Source organism: Homo sapiens, chromosome 3, assembly GCF_000001405.40.
Source record: "Homo sapiens chromosome 3, GRCh38.p14 Primary Assembly".
In the NCBI taxonomy this organism is placed as follows: Eukaryota; Metazoa; Chordata; class Mammalia; order Primates; family Hominidae; genus Homo; species Homo sapiens.
The window spans coordinates 173,205,143-173,222,823 of NC_000003.12; the positions used below are offsets into that span (position 1 = coordinate 173,205,143).

Sequence of the window (17,681 nt, forward strand, 5' to 3'; positions counted from 1 at the left end):
CAGCATGTGGATAGCATTTGTAGTACTTGCATACACCTTCACAGTGTCCAGAACCTACCAAATGTTTTCCATTAAGAAAAAGCCTCTTCTTCCATTAAAAAAAGAGAGTATTTGTTATGACTTCAATAAACAAATATTATAGAGTACAAGAAAAACTTCTAAGGCACGTGAAGGAAATTAGACTTTGTTCCTGGCCCTGTTAGGGAGGTAAGGCATAAACATGAGTTAAGCAATCAGAAGAAGTGTGCCCAATATCACTAAACCATAGGAATCTTAACTGAAAATAAAGACTAATACAGAAAACAAAAATACCTGGAAGTGAAGAAAGGAGGGTTGACTGGTGTGGCAGAAGTGGTGTGGAATTGAATCCCTATGCAGAAAGTGGATTCTAGCTGGTTCTTGAAGAATGGATACAATTTGTACATTTGGAGATAAAAGGAGAGCATATTTACTTCATGGGGGGATAAAACGTTCCAGAAACTATTTTGGTTAGAGAACTAGAGAATTGGAATGAACTAGAAATAAGATTTGTACAACCATCTCTCAACCAAAAAAAGGGTCCAGGTACACTGACATGAGCTGAAGTTTTCCCAGATTGAGCCCTGAAGGAAGAAAGATATGACCTATGACTGAAACACAGAATCAAGGGATGTCTCAAAAAATAGCACCAAGAGCAAAAACTAATAAAAATCAAAGAGACCGGCCCAGAAGTGACCAACCATGTACTTTGGACATGGTTTTCTGGGCTGGTCTCTTTGGAGAGCAGAATTTAGATGGGCATGCAATAGGCAGAAATTAGGGATTCTCCAATGTGTTTATATATACTTATAGTAAGGAATGCAACTATAGAGACTGTCACCTCATCTGTGGCTGGAGATGGAGCTGCTAAGGCTATCATGCAGATTCCAATACAAATTTGGAATGCTAGTTTGGGACCAAATTATCAGGAATTGTAACTTTTAGACTGGGGACAGTCATAAATTTTAATTTACTCTGGAGGCAGTGATGATCTCCTGGAAGTTGGGGTAGAACTAACTGATGAAAGAAAACAATAAATTTAGAAAGATGACATAGGAGGTTGTTTGTGTATCCCAAGGTAAGTGGTGATAAGGATATTACCCAGAAATTTAGAAATGCGAATAGAAAAAATGAAAAAGATATGGGGCATTGAGAAAAAAAAGAGTTGTTAAGATTCAGTGATTATTTGGCTTCCAAAAGTGAGATCAATAACCGAATTGAGTCAAAGACAATTCTAAGGACTTGAGAATAGTAACTGGGAGAATATTCTGGGAGAACTGATGGGGGACAGGGAGTGTGAAGTTTACGGTTCTTTCAGTTGGCAGGTGTGGAAAGTAAAGCATAAAGATTAAGTTATTTACTAAATTTAACTAATCAAGAATTTGTAGCCAACTAAGTTCCTGAGGCCTCACTATTTTATAAAGGTAAAATAAATCTATATTTATTAACAAGTATCCATTTGTTATTATGATTGGCTCAAGCATTTTATTTTATTTTTCATGCAAATTGGCACAGCATTTTCTGTTTGAGTCAGCATGAATTAGTTAAGCTTAACTCTAATGATTTTGACCTGGTTTCTTGGGAACAGATGCTATTTTACTTCGTGTAGTATCTTTGGAGCTAGCTACCAGGATGGGAATGATCTTTTTGAAACCAAAGTTCACGCACCATTGAAATTTCTTCAGGTTACAGGCCAGTTGTGGTCTATCACAACTTTGAAACTTTTGTAGAGGAAGAAGACAAAGAGGCATTAGGAAAAGATACAGCAAGACAGTTGCCAAGGAGGTAAGAGATAGGAGAAGACACAATAAAATAAGATTTGAGAACAGTGCTTCTTAAACTTTAATGTGTATACAAATCACTTGAGGGATTTTTTTTGAAAGGCAAACTTTGATTCAGTAGTTCTGTGGAAAGGCCCAACAGTCTGTTATTCTAACATGCTCTCGGGAGATGCTAATGCTGTTGATCCCTGGACCACATTTTGAGTAGCTAGGTGCTAGCAATCAAAGGAGAGGATTTTAAACTAAAAAAGGTTTCTGTGCTGCATTCTTTCACATTGCATTTTCAAACCCGCTCTCCACCCTTTTCCACCTTGCAGTATGTCCAGGAGGTTGCCCTTTATGGAGTACAAGAGTGGGATTCTTTCCTCTGGCTTCCTGTTGGTTTTGGGCATTACCTAAGAGGCATCAGCAGAAACTGGAAAGAGAAATGTGATTGAGGACTTGGTATTTACAGTTAGTTTCACTCTACCAGGACATATGAATTCGTAAAAATCACCACAGTGTGTAAAATAATGCCATTAAAACCACAGAGTTATGGGAAGATGGTATTAGGGGCACAACATTCAAAAACTTTGTCAGTGACACACATACACACAAAGATGGGAACCTAATAAAAGCTGCAGAACAGTTTTGTACTTGTTAAATGCTTAAGAATACTCATAAATATGACAATCAATATGGTACTTTACCTTGAAGAGCACCTGAAGTATGCTTGTGGGTATTAGAAAGGTTGCAGATTGTGAGGTACTATGAAGTGGTAGAAAAAATATCATCTGAAATTGGAAGAAAATTTGTAATACCAGATGTGAATGGATGTGGATCATAACACACTCAATGAACTGAGGTAGCTGGGAGATATTTGAGGTGAATGTATGTGTGTGTTTTGTGTATTCCTACCAAGTGTGGTTCAATTCTGCAATTTTGTCTGTTCACCTAGTATTTCCTATATGTGAATTTGTGCATAAGAAAAAATCAAATTTGGTTATATTCAAATTATTTTGCAACATATCAACAGCATTGGAACAAATCTGCACTTAAGATCTGTGATGCTCGTTGCTCCAGCACCCTACTTAGAGACATGACTCTTGTAGTATCCTCTCCTATAGCTACAGAAATTACTCCTAAGTTATGACAACCACTATTCATTCACCTTGTCCTTCTGACCCAGGGGTTGTAACAGCTCCCTGCTATTTCTAACTTTGGATGATTTCATGGTTGACTCTTAGTTTCATTTAACCTTGTTCACATCTTTGTAAATAGTTCCTTTAATGCATGCCCATCAATTGCCTATGCTGTTTGAGTTTGCCACGTGGGTCTTTCCAGTCCCCAGACAATGTTCAAAAGTGATTAGTGATGTAAAGAGATCAAGTAGAATTAGGGCTTGGTATCAGCCTTTGAATTTAATTATTATTGATGTCAACTAATTGATATTTTAATGCACTGGTTCGACACACCGTGGCCAGCCAGACCCATTACAAAAAGTAAGTTAGATCAAGCCATCCCCTTTCTCAAAACCTTATGATGGCTTCATTTTGGTCTTAGAGTAAAACCAGTGGTACTTTCAATGGCTTAGAAGACTCCACATAGCCTGGTTTCTTGCTGCATCTCTGAATTCACCACATTTCAGGATCAATCATTTATTTTTCTCCCTTTGTTCCAATAACACTGGCCTTCTTGTGGTCTTTGAACATGCCAGGTGGGCTTCTGCCTCAGGTCCTTTGCGTTGGGTCTTCCTCTTATCTGGAACATACTCTCCAATATATTTACATGGTTAAGTCTTTCCTCTTCAAGTATTTATTTAAATGTTATCCTTTCAATGAAATTTATTTTGATCTCCCATTTAGAATGCAACTCAGTCCCCACAATATATTGGCCCTCTTAACAAGCTCTATTTTGTTTTCCACAGCACTGCCATGTTTTAACATGCTGTGTTATTTATTTACTTGTTTTTTAAATCTTTTTTGACTTTCAATACTAACTAGAATAAAATTTCTCGGGGGGCTGAAAATTTGGGGTCTAGTTTTTAAATAGGTATTTCCCAAATTATGAATGAACTGTCAAATGTGTGAAGATGCCACTACTGATGCAACATGTGCTTTGGGTTTTCTTTTCAATAATGTAGACAGGTGTTTGTGGATGTATCTTAACTGAACACATTTGAAGGCTATTTTCTGAATGAAGAGTACAATTTGTAACCAAGAACGCATTTTCTAAGTATGAAGGTACTTGACTTTTCTGACTGATCAGACTATTCATTCACTGAAAAACTAAGTGATATTGTCCAAATTAAAATATTTTCAAGTTATAAAGATATTACTTTAATGAAAAGTTGGGAGGGGGGCTACCAAATTACCACAGGCCCTTGGAAATCATCCCAGAAGTCTAATGCCTGACCCATCTAGGAATCTTCTTAACATCATCACTGAAGCTAATCATCCAGTCACAGCTTAAAAACATTTCAGGTTCTGGTTTACATTTTATTAGGTTTTAATTAGAAGTCATTGTTTGAATGAAAAAAAGTGTTCCTGTTCAATAGCTCCATGCAGGCACTATGGCAATAACAGCACAATTTCTTCCATTAAAAACAGGACTTCTTTTTGTGTTTGAGGTTCATTTCTATAAAGCTCTGAAACCTGGAAATTCTCCCTTGCAGTCTAAGCCACACTTAGCCTTATTTTTTGTCAGAACACAAATAGAATCTTGTCCACTTTTCAATATTTATCTGTATTTTGCTAGAAAGAGTTTGGTTTTACATTCTTATAATTATTACTAGCATCATAAGTTCTGAAGTTACTTAAGGCTCACAAATGAATGAATGACTTCTAATGATACAAATGAATTACATTTCATAGTTTGAAAGTTTAAAAAATGTGCCTTTGTTTTTCTCTCAACATTCTTAGCTTTAGCTAGGATAGATAAATTCTCCAAGGATTGGAGCTTTCATACATTTACACATGTAAATAATGAGGGTTCATAAGAGATCCAGAAAATCTCTTTCCTTGTATTTCTAAGAATAACTTTTATTGAACTTTCAGAACTAGTTTAAGACACATTTTATTAAGTTGAAGTCACTGAGTTAGGTATAAGATAAGGCTACTCTTTTTATTATGATGCAACTAATTCTAAAAAATATTTAAATTAGGGATCTATTTTACTGTTCTTAATTGGATGGCTCAAGACAAAGATAAAAGTAAAACTTTAATTCATACATTTAAAACAGATTTTGTGAATGACAGTTATGTAAATTCTTACAGAACATTAGTACAATGACATCTAAATCATAATATATATTCAATTAGTTTTTCATTTATTCAGTGTTTATAGAGCACTAATTATGTGAAAGTATTGTAGTAAAATGACAAAGAAGACTGGCACTTTATACTACATTTCATGTTTTCATATTGGAAGACACATTAGCCCTAAAATTGGTAAATGACAGGCTTTGGGCAACTGAATTACAGTTTTTGCTTCCTTATAATGAAAATCCTCCTTATATAGATGACCAAAAATAAATGCTATTCTCTAGTTGGTTACAGTATATTCATTTATGTCACACTGACTAAGAAGCTCGACACTTGAAAAAAAGGAATCTTACAGTTCTGTATTCCTGAAGTGCTTAACTGAAGTGTTAGGCAAGGAGTGGAAACTGAATAAATGTGTTGAGTGATGTAAAATAATTCATGTAATCATGTGTATGTTTAGTGACAAGCTGATGAAACATCTGTTAAGTTGAATTTTTGTTTATGCAGATATTTAGTTGCTCTTTATACATACTCTTAAGTTGGAAAAGTCTCTACTATAATCATATAAACACTAAGTATAGACCAAATTATACATAACTCTTATCAAGTTTTTGCAAAAGTTTAACGTGGGAAAATTCTGAACTAGGAATTATTTTTCTTCAGAGATTGTTTTCTCTTTCAGGAAAATCAAATACCCAGACATGATGGGAAATCACTGCAGAATACAGAAGACAAACAAAACAACAACAAAAACTCCACAATATCAATAAATCCAGTGACAATATTTTTAGACATTTACACTGAAAAAGAACAGAACAGTCATTGTACAGTTTCACCAGATAAAGAATGAGCATAAAAGTGGCATGCAATAAAATAATTTAGTATCTTCCTAGCTGCTGGCCTACAGTGAGGCTTGCAGATGGGAAGGTGCACTCTGAGGAAGGCATTGATGGTACCAGCATCAAGTGCAGATCAACAGAGATTCACTTCCTCTGCCAATTCTCTATTCTTGTGTAAAAAGAGAAAACATACATGAATGGGTGCAACATCTGTTGAACTGTTTTTAATGTGCCAAAGTAGAATGGGATTTTCAGTTTAAGAAACAGGGTTTAAAAAAGAAGTAAGGAGAAAAATGTGGTGCAAAATTAGGAAAGAAAATATTTATGTAAAGAAATCTTCATGAGAAATAATATGAATATCCCACTGAAGATAGGTTGACAGGCAGCTTGATGGGATAGCTGATTGAGACAGAGAAGAGATTCTGGATTTAAAAAATACAGTGACAATTAAATGCAACAGAAATTTGGTTCAGTTGGGCTTTAGGGAAAACATAATTTTTTTGTCACACACATTTCTGCTGCTTGCTGATTTATGGGGAGAGAGTGGCATTGAAGAAAAGGAGGGTATCAGCCAAACTGTCTGAGGTGAGGAAGATCTCATATAATGTTGCAGTCACAGAAAGGTGTCAGGCAGCTGACCAAGGGTGGTGACTTCCCATTCCCAAAAGTCAAGGAGGATTTAACATCAAGCACGAAGGCTCACTACAGAGAAATAAGAGCAAAGAACATCAATGATGTGAGTATAAGAAGCCTAGGGAGGAAGACAACTGCCATAATTTATGGGCTAATCTGAATATCTGTCTATCTATCTGTCATCTACATATCTATCTATCTATCTATCTATCTATCTATCTATCTATCTATCTCAGACTAGGATATTAATCAAACGTATTTATGTTCAATATTGAATATTGAATGTGGATTATTACCAATCAATAATTCCTTGGCATCCTATCAATTCTATCGGTTAGGATTCTCCTGCCTCAGCCTCCCGAGTAGCTAGGACTACCACACCCAGGTAATTTTTAAAATTTTTTGTAGAGTTAGGGTCTCACTATGTCGCCCAGTCTTGGCTTGATCTTCTGGCATCACAAGAGCCTCTTGCCTTGGCCTCTCAAAGTGCTAGAATTACTGGCATGAACCACCATACCTGGCCTATTATTGTTAAATTTTGATTTTAGGCCGGGCGCGGTGGCTTACACCTGTAATCCCAGCACTTTGGGAGGCCGAGGCAGGTGGATCACGAGGTCAGGAGATCGAGACCATCCTGGCTAACACGATGAAACCCCGTCTCTACTAAAAATACAAAAAATTAGCCGGGCATGGTGGCGGGTGCCTGTAGTCCCAGCTACTTGGGAAGCTGAGGCAGGAGAATGGCATGAACCCAGGAGGTGGAGCTTGCAGTGAGCCGAGATCATGCCACTGCACTCCAGCCTGGATGACAGAGTGAGACTGTCTCAAAAAAAAATTTTTTTTGATTTTAAAATGGAGAATATATAAATATTTATCATTAAGCAATTGGTCAGATTATAATTTATCTCTTCAAGATAACATATAAACTATTTATTATATGCAACTATATGAAAGATAAGAATAAGATAAGTACTTATGTGGAATTACTTCAAAGATAAGTAATAAAAAGGTAGGTTTAGAACAATAAAAATACTATTATGTGTATATATTATGCTATTATACACACACACAGATATGTATGTTTGCCTATGTGAAGGATGCTTCCAGAAAATGTACTTGGAGAAATTATTTGAGTGGTGAGTGGCTGAGAGACTGAGGTAGAAGGAAATTACTTTTTATTATACACATTTTGTATTTCTTAAATTTTGTAGCATGCATATATTGTAGAATGAGAACAACAAATACAGGTAGCACTTTGCATTGTTCAGGCATACATAAATCACAGTTACCAGTTAGTTAAATAGTGTCTGTCCCTCAAAAACATGGTTAAAATTTCAATTATCATTGTATATTAACTGCAAGTAATTGCATAAGGTACAAACTTGGCTGCTAGCTCTTCAGTTCACAAATCAAAATGCAAATAAAAGATGATGTTCATCATGATATATGACCAACCACATCACTTCTTCCAAAATTGGGTGATTAATAGTTACTGCACTACTGTTATTTGGTTCACTCACAAACAGCAAAGTGTTTTGTTGTATTTGTCTCTAGTTGATGAAACCATGTGGCATTTTATAGAAATGGATAAAGAGGAAATTGGCTAACAAAGATGAATGTGCAGCAAAGAAACCAAAGTGAAAATATTGAAATGTGAGGATAATGTAAATGGAGTTATAGAAGAAATAGCTGATGTGAAAATGTTGATAAGGCCATCGTTGGAAACACTAGATATACAGCTGGAGCAAAGCAAGAGGTGAACTTACCAACATAATAGGGAAAGTGGCCATGATTAAAGGATAAATATGTTCCAGAAGAATTGACACTGGCAATAACAACTTCACATTAAAGCCACACTTAGAGATGCTTCATGACATGGAAAGCACAAAGCATAAAATTTTGGAAGCTGATTCAAAGTTGGAAAGGAATATGACAATTTGCCAAGGCATAACAAAGATGCTTGATTCATACGAAGAATTATAAATGAGAGGAAGGCAAGCACTGTTTTGAACTATTCTCGGTAAGTTTTTACAAGACAAGAAATCATGTTTCTAATGTTTTAAATTACTGTGTATTAAATACACATTGGGTTCACTATTTTTTATTTCCCTATACATTTATAACCAATAGGAAAAGAGTTTTCAATGTTTTGATAAAGATTTTAAAAGGCCACAGACAATTGCAATTTTTCTCATTGATAAGATGGTTTGCATAGTTTCAGCTTGCATGATCATTTTTATGATGCCACACGACTGTGTGAAGCAAGGGCTACTTATACAATATTTTAAAGAAACAAAAATAAATTTAAGATTTATTAAATTTATAAGTAATTTCTAAAAATTATATAAAATCATCTTTGTTCTTCTTGCTTTTCTATGAGCAAGTTAATCAAAATAACACCAGAAATGGAAATTAATTTCTGTTTGAAAATCTAAAACATTTATAAGGGAGATAATGAGATAAAAAATGTTTGGTGTCTGCTCTGCTTTTAACTCAGGCCAACTCATCAACATACCTTGTGACTGATTATTGATTAAAATGAGCCCTTTGCACTCTAATATTATTGATGGTTTTCACTCTGTCCCACCTTTCTCTCATTCTTTGTTTTGTTCCCATGACAACTTTTTTTTCTGCTAATGTTCTTGAAAGCTCGCTCCAGCCTCTTTGGGATCTCTGGTGTACAGTATCTCAAGTCCAATACCTGGATACCTGGTTTAATGCCTTCCATTTACCAGTTATGCATATTAATTTTTTCGTACCAGACTTCTTTCTTCTGCATCACCTCTCTCCCAACTTCCAGGCCCATCCAAGAACTGGCCAAAAGAAAAGCATAGTGATTTGGATGCCTCAATAATACAAAATAACTGGCTTAGAAAGGATAGAAGATTTCTTTTTTTAATCTCTAATGAAAATCTGAGTTTGTAAATGATCCAAGGTAATAGTGCAGAGGGGATTATGGCTGCCTCTGTCCCCAGGGAATTGGGGAAAAGCCAGTAGCAATGGGCCTCACCCAGCTCCCATGCAGTTGGTGAGGCTGGTCTTGCTCCTGCCATGCCCCACTAACAGAGCCGAGTTTATATCCAGGCAGCCTGTGTGCAGGACTAAAACCTAGCCCCAGGCTATAAGTTTTCCTGCTGAGAAAACAAACATGGCTTTCAGGCCATGCCCCTTCCTGTCTGCCCACACTGTCTGTCACTACTCTTGCTCTTCTTTCTGGAGCAGTTCCCATTCACACCCAAATTACGCTCAAAAGAGTTTTACCCAGTCAAAATTATTACAAAGTTCGGCTGGAAGTTTCTTTCACCTTGTGACCCCTCCCAAACTGCACCAGTTGCCTTTTCCGAGTGTCCCCATGAGACTTAGTCAGGGATGGCTTCCCTGGGCTTGAGCTGGAGAATGGCTGTGCCTACAAGGCTTCTTCCACTGCTGCTTCTAGTTTTATATTTTATTCTAAATTCATTTCAGCTCTGGGTAAGGTTAAATCCTTCTCCTGTAATCTGGATTTTTGGGTTTCCAGGGGGGACATGTGTTCAGAGGCAGGATTTCCCCCTCTCGCACTTTGGGAACTCGCAGTTTTTTGCTTGTCTCATGGGATTTGCAGTGGCTTGGTGCTTTTTTATTTAAAGAATCTGTGAATTATTAGTTTTCCTGGTATGCTCCTGCAGTGGTTCCTGGAGCAAAAGTGCACAGTATGGGTCTCCACACACTGTTCCATCCATCCAAATGGAAGTTGCATGTCAGCCCTGCATCTATCTACCAAGTTCCCAAGTCTCAACATTGCTTCGTTTTTTGTTTTTTTTTGTTGTTTTTTTTTTCATTCTTTTTTCTTTTGTCTCCTCTGGCAGTGCATTTTCAAATAACCTGTCTTCAAGCTCAACAATTATTTCCCCTGCTTGATCAGTTCCACTGTTAAGAGACTCTGATGCATCCTTCAGTATGTTGATTGCATTTTTGAACTCTAGACTTTTGGCTTGATTTTTAATTCAATCTCTTTGTTAAATGTGTCTGATAGAATTTTGAATTCTTTCTTTGTGTTGTTTTTAATTTCACTGAGTTTTCTCAAAACAGCTAGTTTGAGTTCTCTGTCTGAAAGGTCACATATCTCTGTTTCTCTGTGTTGGTCCTTGGTGTCTTATTCAGTTCATTTAGTGAAGTCTTGTTTTTCTGGATGGTCTTGATGCTTGCAGATATTTTCTGGTGTCAGGGCATTGAAGAGTTAGGTATTTATTGTGGTATTCACAGTCTTGGCTTGTTTGTACCCATCCGTCTTCGGAAGGCTTTCCAGGTACTCGAAGGGACTTGGATGTTGTGATTATTGCAGTTTTTGGTCACTGCAGCCATATCTGCATTAGGGAGCACCCCAAGCCCAGTAATGCTATGGCTGTTTCAGATCTATAGAGGTATCACCTTTGTGGTCTTAAATAAGATCATAAAAAATTATCTGGATTACCAAAAAGAGAATCTTGTTCTATTCCCTTACTTTCTCCCAGACAAAGGGAGTCTCTCTCTCTCTTTCTGTATTGAGCTATCTGGAGCTGGGGGAGGGGTGACACAAGCACCCAAGTGGCCACTGCCACTGGGACTGTGCTGGGTCAGGCCTGAAGCCAGCACAACACTGGATCTTGACCAAGTCCTGCTGTAACCACTATCTGACTACTGCCCATGTTTGCTCAAGGATCTAAGGCTCTAAAATCAGCAGGTGACAAAGTCAGCCAGCCTTATGTCCTTCCCTTCAAGGTGACAAGTTCTCCCAGGTCATAGAAAGGCCCAGAAATGCCCGCCAGGAGCCAGGGCCTGGAGTCAGAAACCTTAGGAATCTACCTGGTGCTCTATTCTACTGCAGATGAGCTGACACTCAAACCACAAAACAAAGTTCTTCCTACTCTTCCTTGCTCTTTCCACAGACAGAGAAGTTTCTCTCCATGGCCACACCACCATAGGATCATGGGGGCTACTGCCAGGCCACCACTGATGTTCACTCAAAGGCCATGGGTGTTTTAGTCAGCTTGTGGTGAATGCTGCCAGGCCTGGGACTCACCCTTCAGGAAACTGGGCTCCCTTCTAACCCAGGTCAGGTCCAAAAATGTCATCCAAGAGCCAAGTCCTTAAATCAGAGATCGCACAAGCCCACTTTATGTTCTACCCCACTCTGTCAGAGCTGGTACCTACGGTGGAAGACAAAAACACTTTTTACTTATGCAGAAAGAGTCTCTCATTATAGCCACTACATGTGGAAATATGATGGGTCACACTTGGAGATAGCATGTTTCAGATTCTTGTTCACGGCCCATGGCATGTACTACCTGGCTACTGTGGCTGATAATTCAAGGACCAGGGGCTTTTTAGTCAGTAGGTGACTACTCCTACCAGGACTGGGTCCTTCCCTTTAAGGTAGGGGGTTCTCTTCTGGCCCAGGGTGTGCTAGGAATTTCATCCAGATCTAGGGCCTGAAATGCGGTCTCACGACTCTCTCTGGTATCCTATTTTACTGTGGCTGAGACGGTATCCAAGTCGCAAGTGGAACTTCTCTTTACTCTTCTCTCTCTCTTCTCCCCCAGTGGAAGGAAGAATTCTCTTTCAGAGCTGTGAGCTGTGCTGCCTGGGGTTGGGGGAAGGTTGGGACAAGCATTCCGTTGGCCCCTCCAGCTGGTGTCTCACTAGGTCATGTGCCTCTCAAGTCCACTGGCTCAAAGCCCAGCACAGCATTACAGCTTGCCTAGCAGTTGCAGTCCTTGTGGCCTAGACTGACTTTCTAGTTTATTTAGGATCCCAGAACAGCTTAGCCCAAGGTAGTGAGGCTTGCTGGAACTCAAATTCAGAGAGCTAGGATGGATGACTCCCCTCTGGCTAGGGCTGGCCTAAATGCTCCTTTTGTGGGTGTTTATTGAGTTCTACCCAGTATTATTTTTGCTGTGACAGGGGAGCACTGAGTTCCAATGTGAAGTTCCACAATCACTTCGCTTCCCTCCCTCAAGTGCACAGATACTCTGTGCCACATGGCTGCTGCAGGGTGATGGGGAGGGTGGCATCAGAAATTTAAGACTGTCTTTTCTCTCCTTCATTCTTTCAGTGAACAAAGTTAAAACCAGATACTGTTAGCATTCACCTGATTTTTGGTTCAGATGAAGACTTTTTTTGTGTAGATAGTTGTTAATTTGGTGTTCCTCTGGGGAAGACATTCAGTGGCGGCTACTTTTTGGACATCTTGTTCTGCCTCCTTCTTCTTCAATTTATCTTACCAGTGTTTTATAATAATTTTCCTTCTCAAGTCTGTCACTTCTTTGGTTAAATTGATCCCTAGGTAGTTTATATTATTTTTAACTATTGTAAATAGGATTGCTCTCATGACATCCTTTTCAGATATTTCATTGTTGGTTTATATAAATGCCACTGATTTTGTAAGTTGATTTTGCATCCTGCAACTTACTGAATTTATCAGTTCAAAGAGTTTCTTGGTAGAGTCTTTAGGTTTTTCTAAATATGAGATTATGTCATCTGTGAAAAAGGCTAATTTGACTTCTTTCTTTCCAATTTGGATGCCTTTTTTTCTTTTTATTGCCCAATTGCAAAATGTTTGGTAGAATGCAGAGGTGAAGCCACCAGGTTCTGGGCTTTTCTTTGATGGGATTTTTTTTTTTATTACAGCTTTGATCTTATTACTCAGTATTGGTTTGTTGAGGTTTTGTATTTCTTCATGGTTCAATCTTGGGAAATTATATATACCTAGGAATTTATCAGTTTTTTTCTAAGTTCTCCAATTTGTTTAAGTTTATGGTAATAGGCTCTAATGATTCTTTATATTTCTGTGTTCTCAGTTGTTAGGTCTGCATTTTCATTTCTGATTTTATTTATTTGTATCTTTTCTCTTTTTTTCTTAGTCTAGCTGAAGATTTATTGATTTTGCGTAACTTTTCAAAAAACCGACTTTTCATTTAATCTGTATTTTTATTACCATTTTATTTCTGCTCTAATCTTTATTATGATTTTATCCTTCTACTAATTTTGTGTTTGGTTTGTTCCTGCTTTTCTAGTTCCTTGAGGTGTTTCAGTAGGTTGCTTATTCCAGGTCTTTTTACTTTTTTGATATAGGTGTTTATTGCAATAAACTTGCCTTTTCATATTACCTTTGATGTATCCCACAGATTTTGGTATGTTGTGTTTCCATTTTCATTCATGTTAAGAAATTTTAAATTTTTCTTCTTAATTTCATTTTTGCCCATTGGTTATTCAGGAGCATATTGTTTAATTTCCATGTGTTTGTGTGGTTTCTGAAGTTTTACTGGTTATTGAGTTCTAGTTTTATTTCACTTTGGTCAGAAAAGACACTATATATGATTTCTATTTTTTAAAATCTGTTGAGACTCATTTTGTGGATTAAAACATGATCTATTCTGAAGAATGTTCCATGTGCTGATGAAGAGAATGTGTGTTCTGCAGCAGCTGAGTGAAATGTTCTGTAAATGTCAGTTGGTCCTATTAGATCTAGTGTGTAATTTAATGCCGATGTTTCTTTGTTCATTATCTGTCTGGATAATCTGTCTATTAGGGAGAGTGGGATGTTGAAATTCCTTACTATTATTGGATTGCAGCCTATCTCTCCCTTTAAGTTTATTAATGTTTGCTTTATATACTTGGTATTGTATGCATAGATAGTTATAATTGTTACATCATTTTCCTGAATTCATTCGTTTATCATTAAATAGTGACCTTCTTGGTCTCATTTTTGCAGTTCTGATTTGTAGTCTTGTCATTTGATATAAGTATAGTTACTCCTGCTTTTTTGGGTTTCCATTTGCATAGAATATCTTTTTCCACCTCTTTACTTTCAGTCTATGTGTGTCTTTATAAGTAAAGTTGGTTTCTTGTAGGCAGCACAAAGTTAGGTCTTATTTGTTTGTTTTAATCCATTCAGCCACTCTATGCCTTTTAATTGGAGAATAAGTCCATTTACTTTCATTGCCATTATGATAAGTAAGGAATTACTACTGCCATATTGTTGCTTGTTTTCTGGGTTGTTTTGTTTCTTCTCTCTTCCTTTCTTACTATCTTCTTTTGTGGTTAAGTGATTTTTCTCTGACAGTATGTTTTAATTCATTGCTTTTCATTTTTAATGAATCCATTGTAGATTTTTGCATTGTGGTTATCATGAGGATTACAAAAAACATCATATAGATATAACAAGTTATCTTAAGCAGATAACAACTTATCTTAGCTCAAAAGAAAAAAATGGAAACAAAGAAAGAAAAAAAAGGAAAACCTTTAACACTTTAACTGCATCCCTTCCTCATTTGGACTTTATGTTGTCTTAATTTACATATTTTAATTTTGCCTATCTCCTAACAGGTGGGTGTAGCTATGATTGTTTTTGATAGATTTGTTTTTTGGGCTTCATACTAGAATTATGACTGGATTGAATGCCACAATTACAATATTAGAATATTTTGGTTTTATCTGTGTGCTTAATTTTGCCAACGGGTTTTATACCTTCGAATGTTTTATTTTGCATATTAGCACTTTTTTTACTTTCAGAAGGAAGAACTCCCTTTAGCATTTCTTGTAAAATGAGTCTGGTGGTGGTGAATTCTCTCAGCTTTTGTTTTTCTGAGAAAGATTTTATCTCTCCTTTTTTGAAGGATAGCTTTGCTGGAGACAATATTCTTGGATGGCAGTTTTTTTTCTTTCAGCATTTTGAAAATGTTGTCCCATTCCCTCATGACCTGTAATGATTTTTATTGTGTTTGTGGCCAGATGAATTGGAGCTCTTTTATATGTTATTTGCTTCTTTTCACTTGCTGCTTTTAGAATCCTCTCTTTGTCCTTACCTTTGAGTGTTTTACTATTAAATACATTGAGGTGGTCTTATTTGGATTAAATCTCTTTGTTGTTTTCTGACCTTCCTGTACCTGAATATTTAACTCTCTTCCAAGTTTTGAAACTTTTTATTTTATTTTATTACATCTTTGAACAAGTTTTGTATCCTTTCCTTTTGCTCAACTCTATCTCGAACACAAATAATTCTTAGATTTGGTCTTTTGAGGTAATTTTCTATATCTCTTAGGAAATTTTCATTTTTTCCTTGTTTTTCTCTCCTCTGAGCATTTTGAAATAACCTTTCTTTTATCTCACTGATTCTTTCCTCTGCTTGATACATTCTTCTATTGAGAGCCTCTAATGAGTTCTTAAGTTCTTGATATGTTTCTGAATTGCTTTTCTGTGTTTAGAGATCACTGAGTTTCTTAAAACTGCTGTTTTTAATTCTTGATAAGAGAGTTTACATGTCACTGCTTTGTAAGTGTCGGTCACTAGTTCCTTGTTTTGTCCATTTGAGGAGGCCATGGTTCCTTGTTTGCTGTTTTTTTTTGTGGAAGTACAGCTATGTCTTTGCATTGAAGGATTAGTTATTTATTCCAGTCTTCTGTGTCTGACTTGTTTTGATTTTGGGGGGATATATTTGCTTAAAGATTCTTCACATTTTGCCTGTTGATATTCATTTTTCTTTTATTTCCCCCACTAGGTGGCCACCTACTTTTTGGCACTAGATGGTGCCTTAAGCCCAGGCTTGATTTCGTTCTAGCAAATAGTCCAAGTGCCACCCATCCCAAACTGGGGAGATTCCAAAGGAGATATCCCAGAAGTGTGAGTAGGCTGATTAGGGGTCCATGCCCTGGAGACCTGTGTAACAAACCTCCTACTATATGGTGCTGCTGAACAGCCTTTCTGTTTTGGCATCATCTTTGACTGAATTATAGCACACTGTTTCTGGAGCTAGGAATGATAGTCCCACCCTTTGTCTCTGGCTATCCTCAAGGATATTCTTCCCTCTAGATACTGCCAGTGTTTCCTGTGGGTTGAGGCATGAACGTATCTTCTGCCAGGGAAGCCGAAATGCTGCTTGGCCACCTCAATCTCACTTTTTCCAGTGTAGAAACTATGAATTGAAAGGAAATTGTCTCTGCACTTAGTGTCAGGTGGATTGCAGGAAGATTGTTGTGACTATGAAAGTCTGAGTCTCTTTCTGTTGGCTTGGAGTTTTTCCACTTCTCTGTGGTCTCAGGAACTGTCTTATCTTCATATTTGAGTTCTGGTATATTTCTGGTGATAATCTTAGCACTGCATAATTGTTTTCAGTTTCCTATGGAGGGTAGTAAAGCCAGCTTGCTCCTATACTGCCATTTTAGGACTTGAAGGTAGCACCTACTTTAGACAAAAGCTAACCAAAGGCAGAAGGAGTATTAAGATTTTTTTTAAACCATCACTAGGAACAAAAAGGATAATTTATTAATAAACAGGAACAATGCATCACAAAGATATAAAGATCCTGAAAACTTACATACTTTAAAACCTAACCTCAGGGTAAAAGATATATAATTAACAGAAATAGGAAGATCATGAATAAATTCTAAATCTTAATGGGTGATTTTAAAATACTTCTTTTTGACAACGAATGATAAAACAGACAAAAACAATTCTTGGGGATAATAAAAATTTAAAGAATATATTTAATAAGTTGGATTTGATGAATATATAGAACCTTGCATTCATAGAAAATGTTCACTCATTTCCAGCACACATAGAGCACTTATCAAAATGACCACATAATATAAACTCAAATAAGTATGTGCAAAATTATAATTTTTCATTCTTTGTGTTATAACCTCAATGTAGTAAATTTGGAAATTGGAGGAAGAAGAAAATTGCAATGCCTATATTTTTGGAATGTAAAGCAAACAAAAACTCAGCACTTTGGTAAAAATTCCTAAACCAAAAAAATTATACTGTGAATTACAAATAATTATTGTAGGGAAAGAAAGTTTTTTTTGTCACCTGTTAGAAGGTTCATAGTGAAGGCACATATAACAAAAGACAGATTAACAAGACATACATATGAACATATTTAATTACAAAGTTATATACAAATTTATTTAATGTAAATTTTATGTGATACAGGAGCCTTCATTAGAAAATGAAGACCCAAAGAAGTAGAAACCTGTGTATTTTTATGCTTAAGTTTGATGAAGAGTGAGCAGTCATGGAAAAATATGGTTGAACAAATGAAGTGTGATCTAATGGTAATAAATGAAGGGAACTTAGTAATGCCTATTTGTTTAGATTATTTTCTGTGCTCCATTTTCTTTAGAAATAAAGATGTTCCTTTCCTCTGGTTAGAT

The 17,681-nt window shown here is 36.6% G+C and overlaps 1 long non-coding RNA gene across 1 annotated transcript in view; it reads left to right on the plus strand.

Annotated features, from left to right (window-relative positions):
- Window positions 1–1,435: 1,435 nt before the first annotated feature.
- Window positions 1,436–17,681, plus strand: part of LOC105374224 (uncharacterized) — a 53,972-nt gene continuing 37,726 nt past the window's right edge. Inside the window, exons 1-3 of the long non-coding RNA XR_007096171.1 lie at window positions 1,436–1,803; window positions 5,724–6,616; window positions 8,068–8,533. This is a non-coding gene — a long non-coding RNA (uncharacterized LOC105374224). The remainder of the gene's footprint in view (window positions 1,804–5,723; window positions 6,617–8,067; window positions 8,534–17,681) is intronic.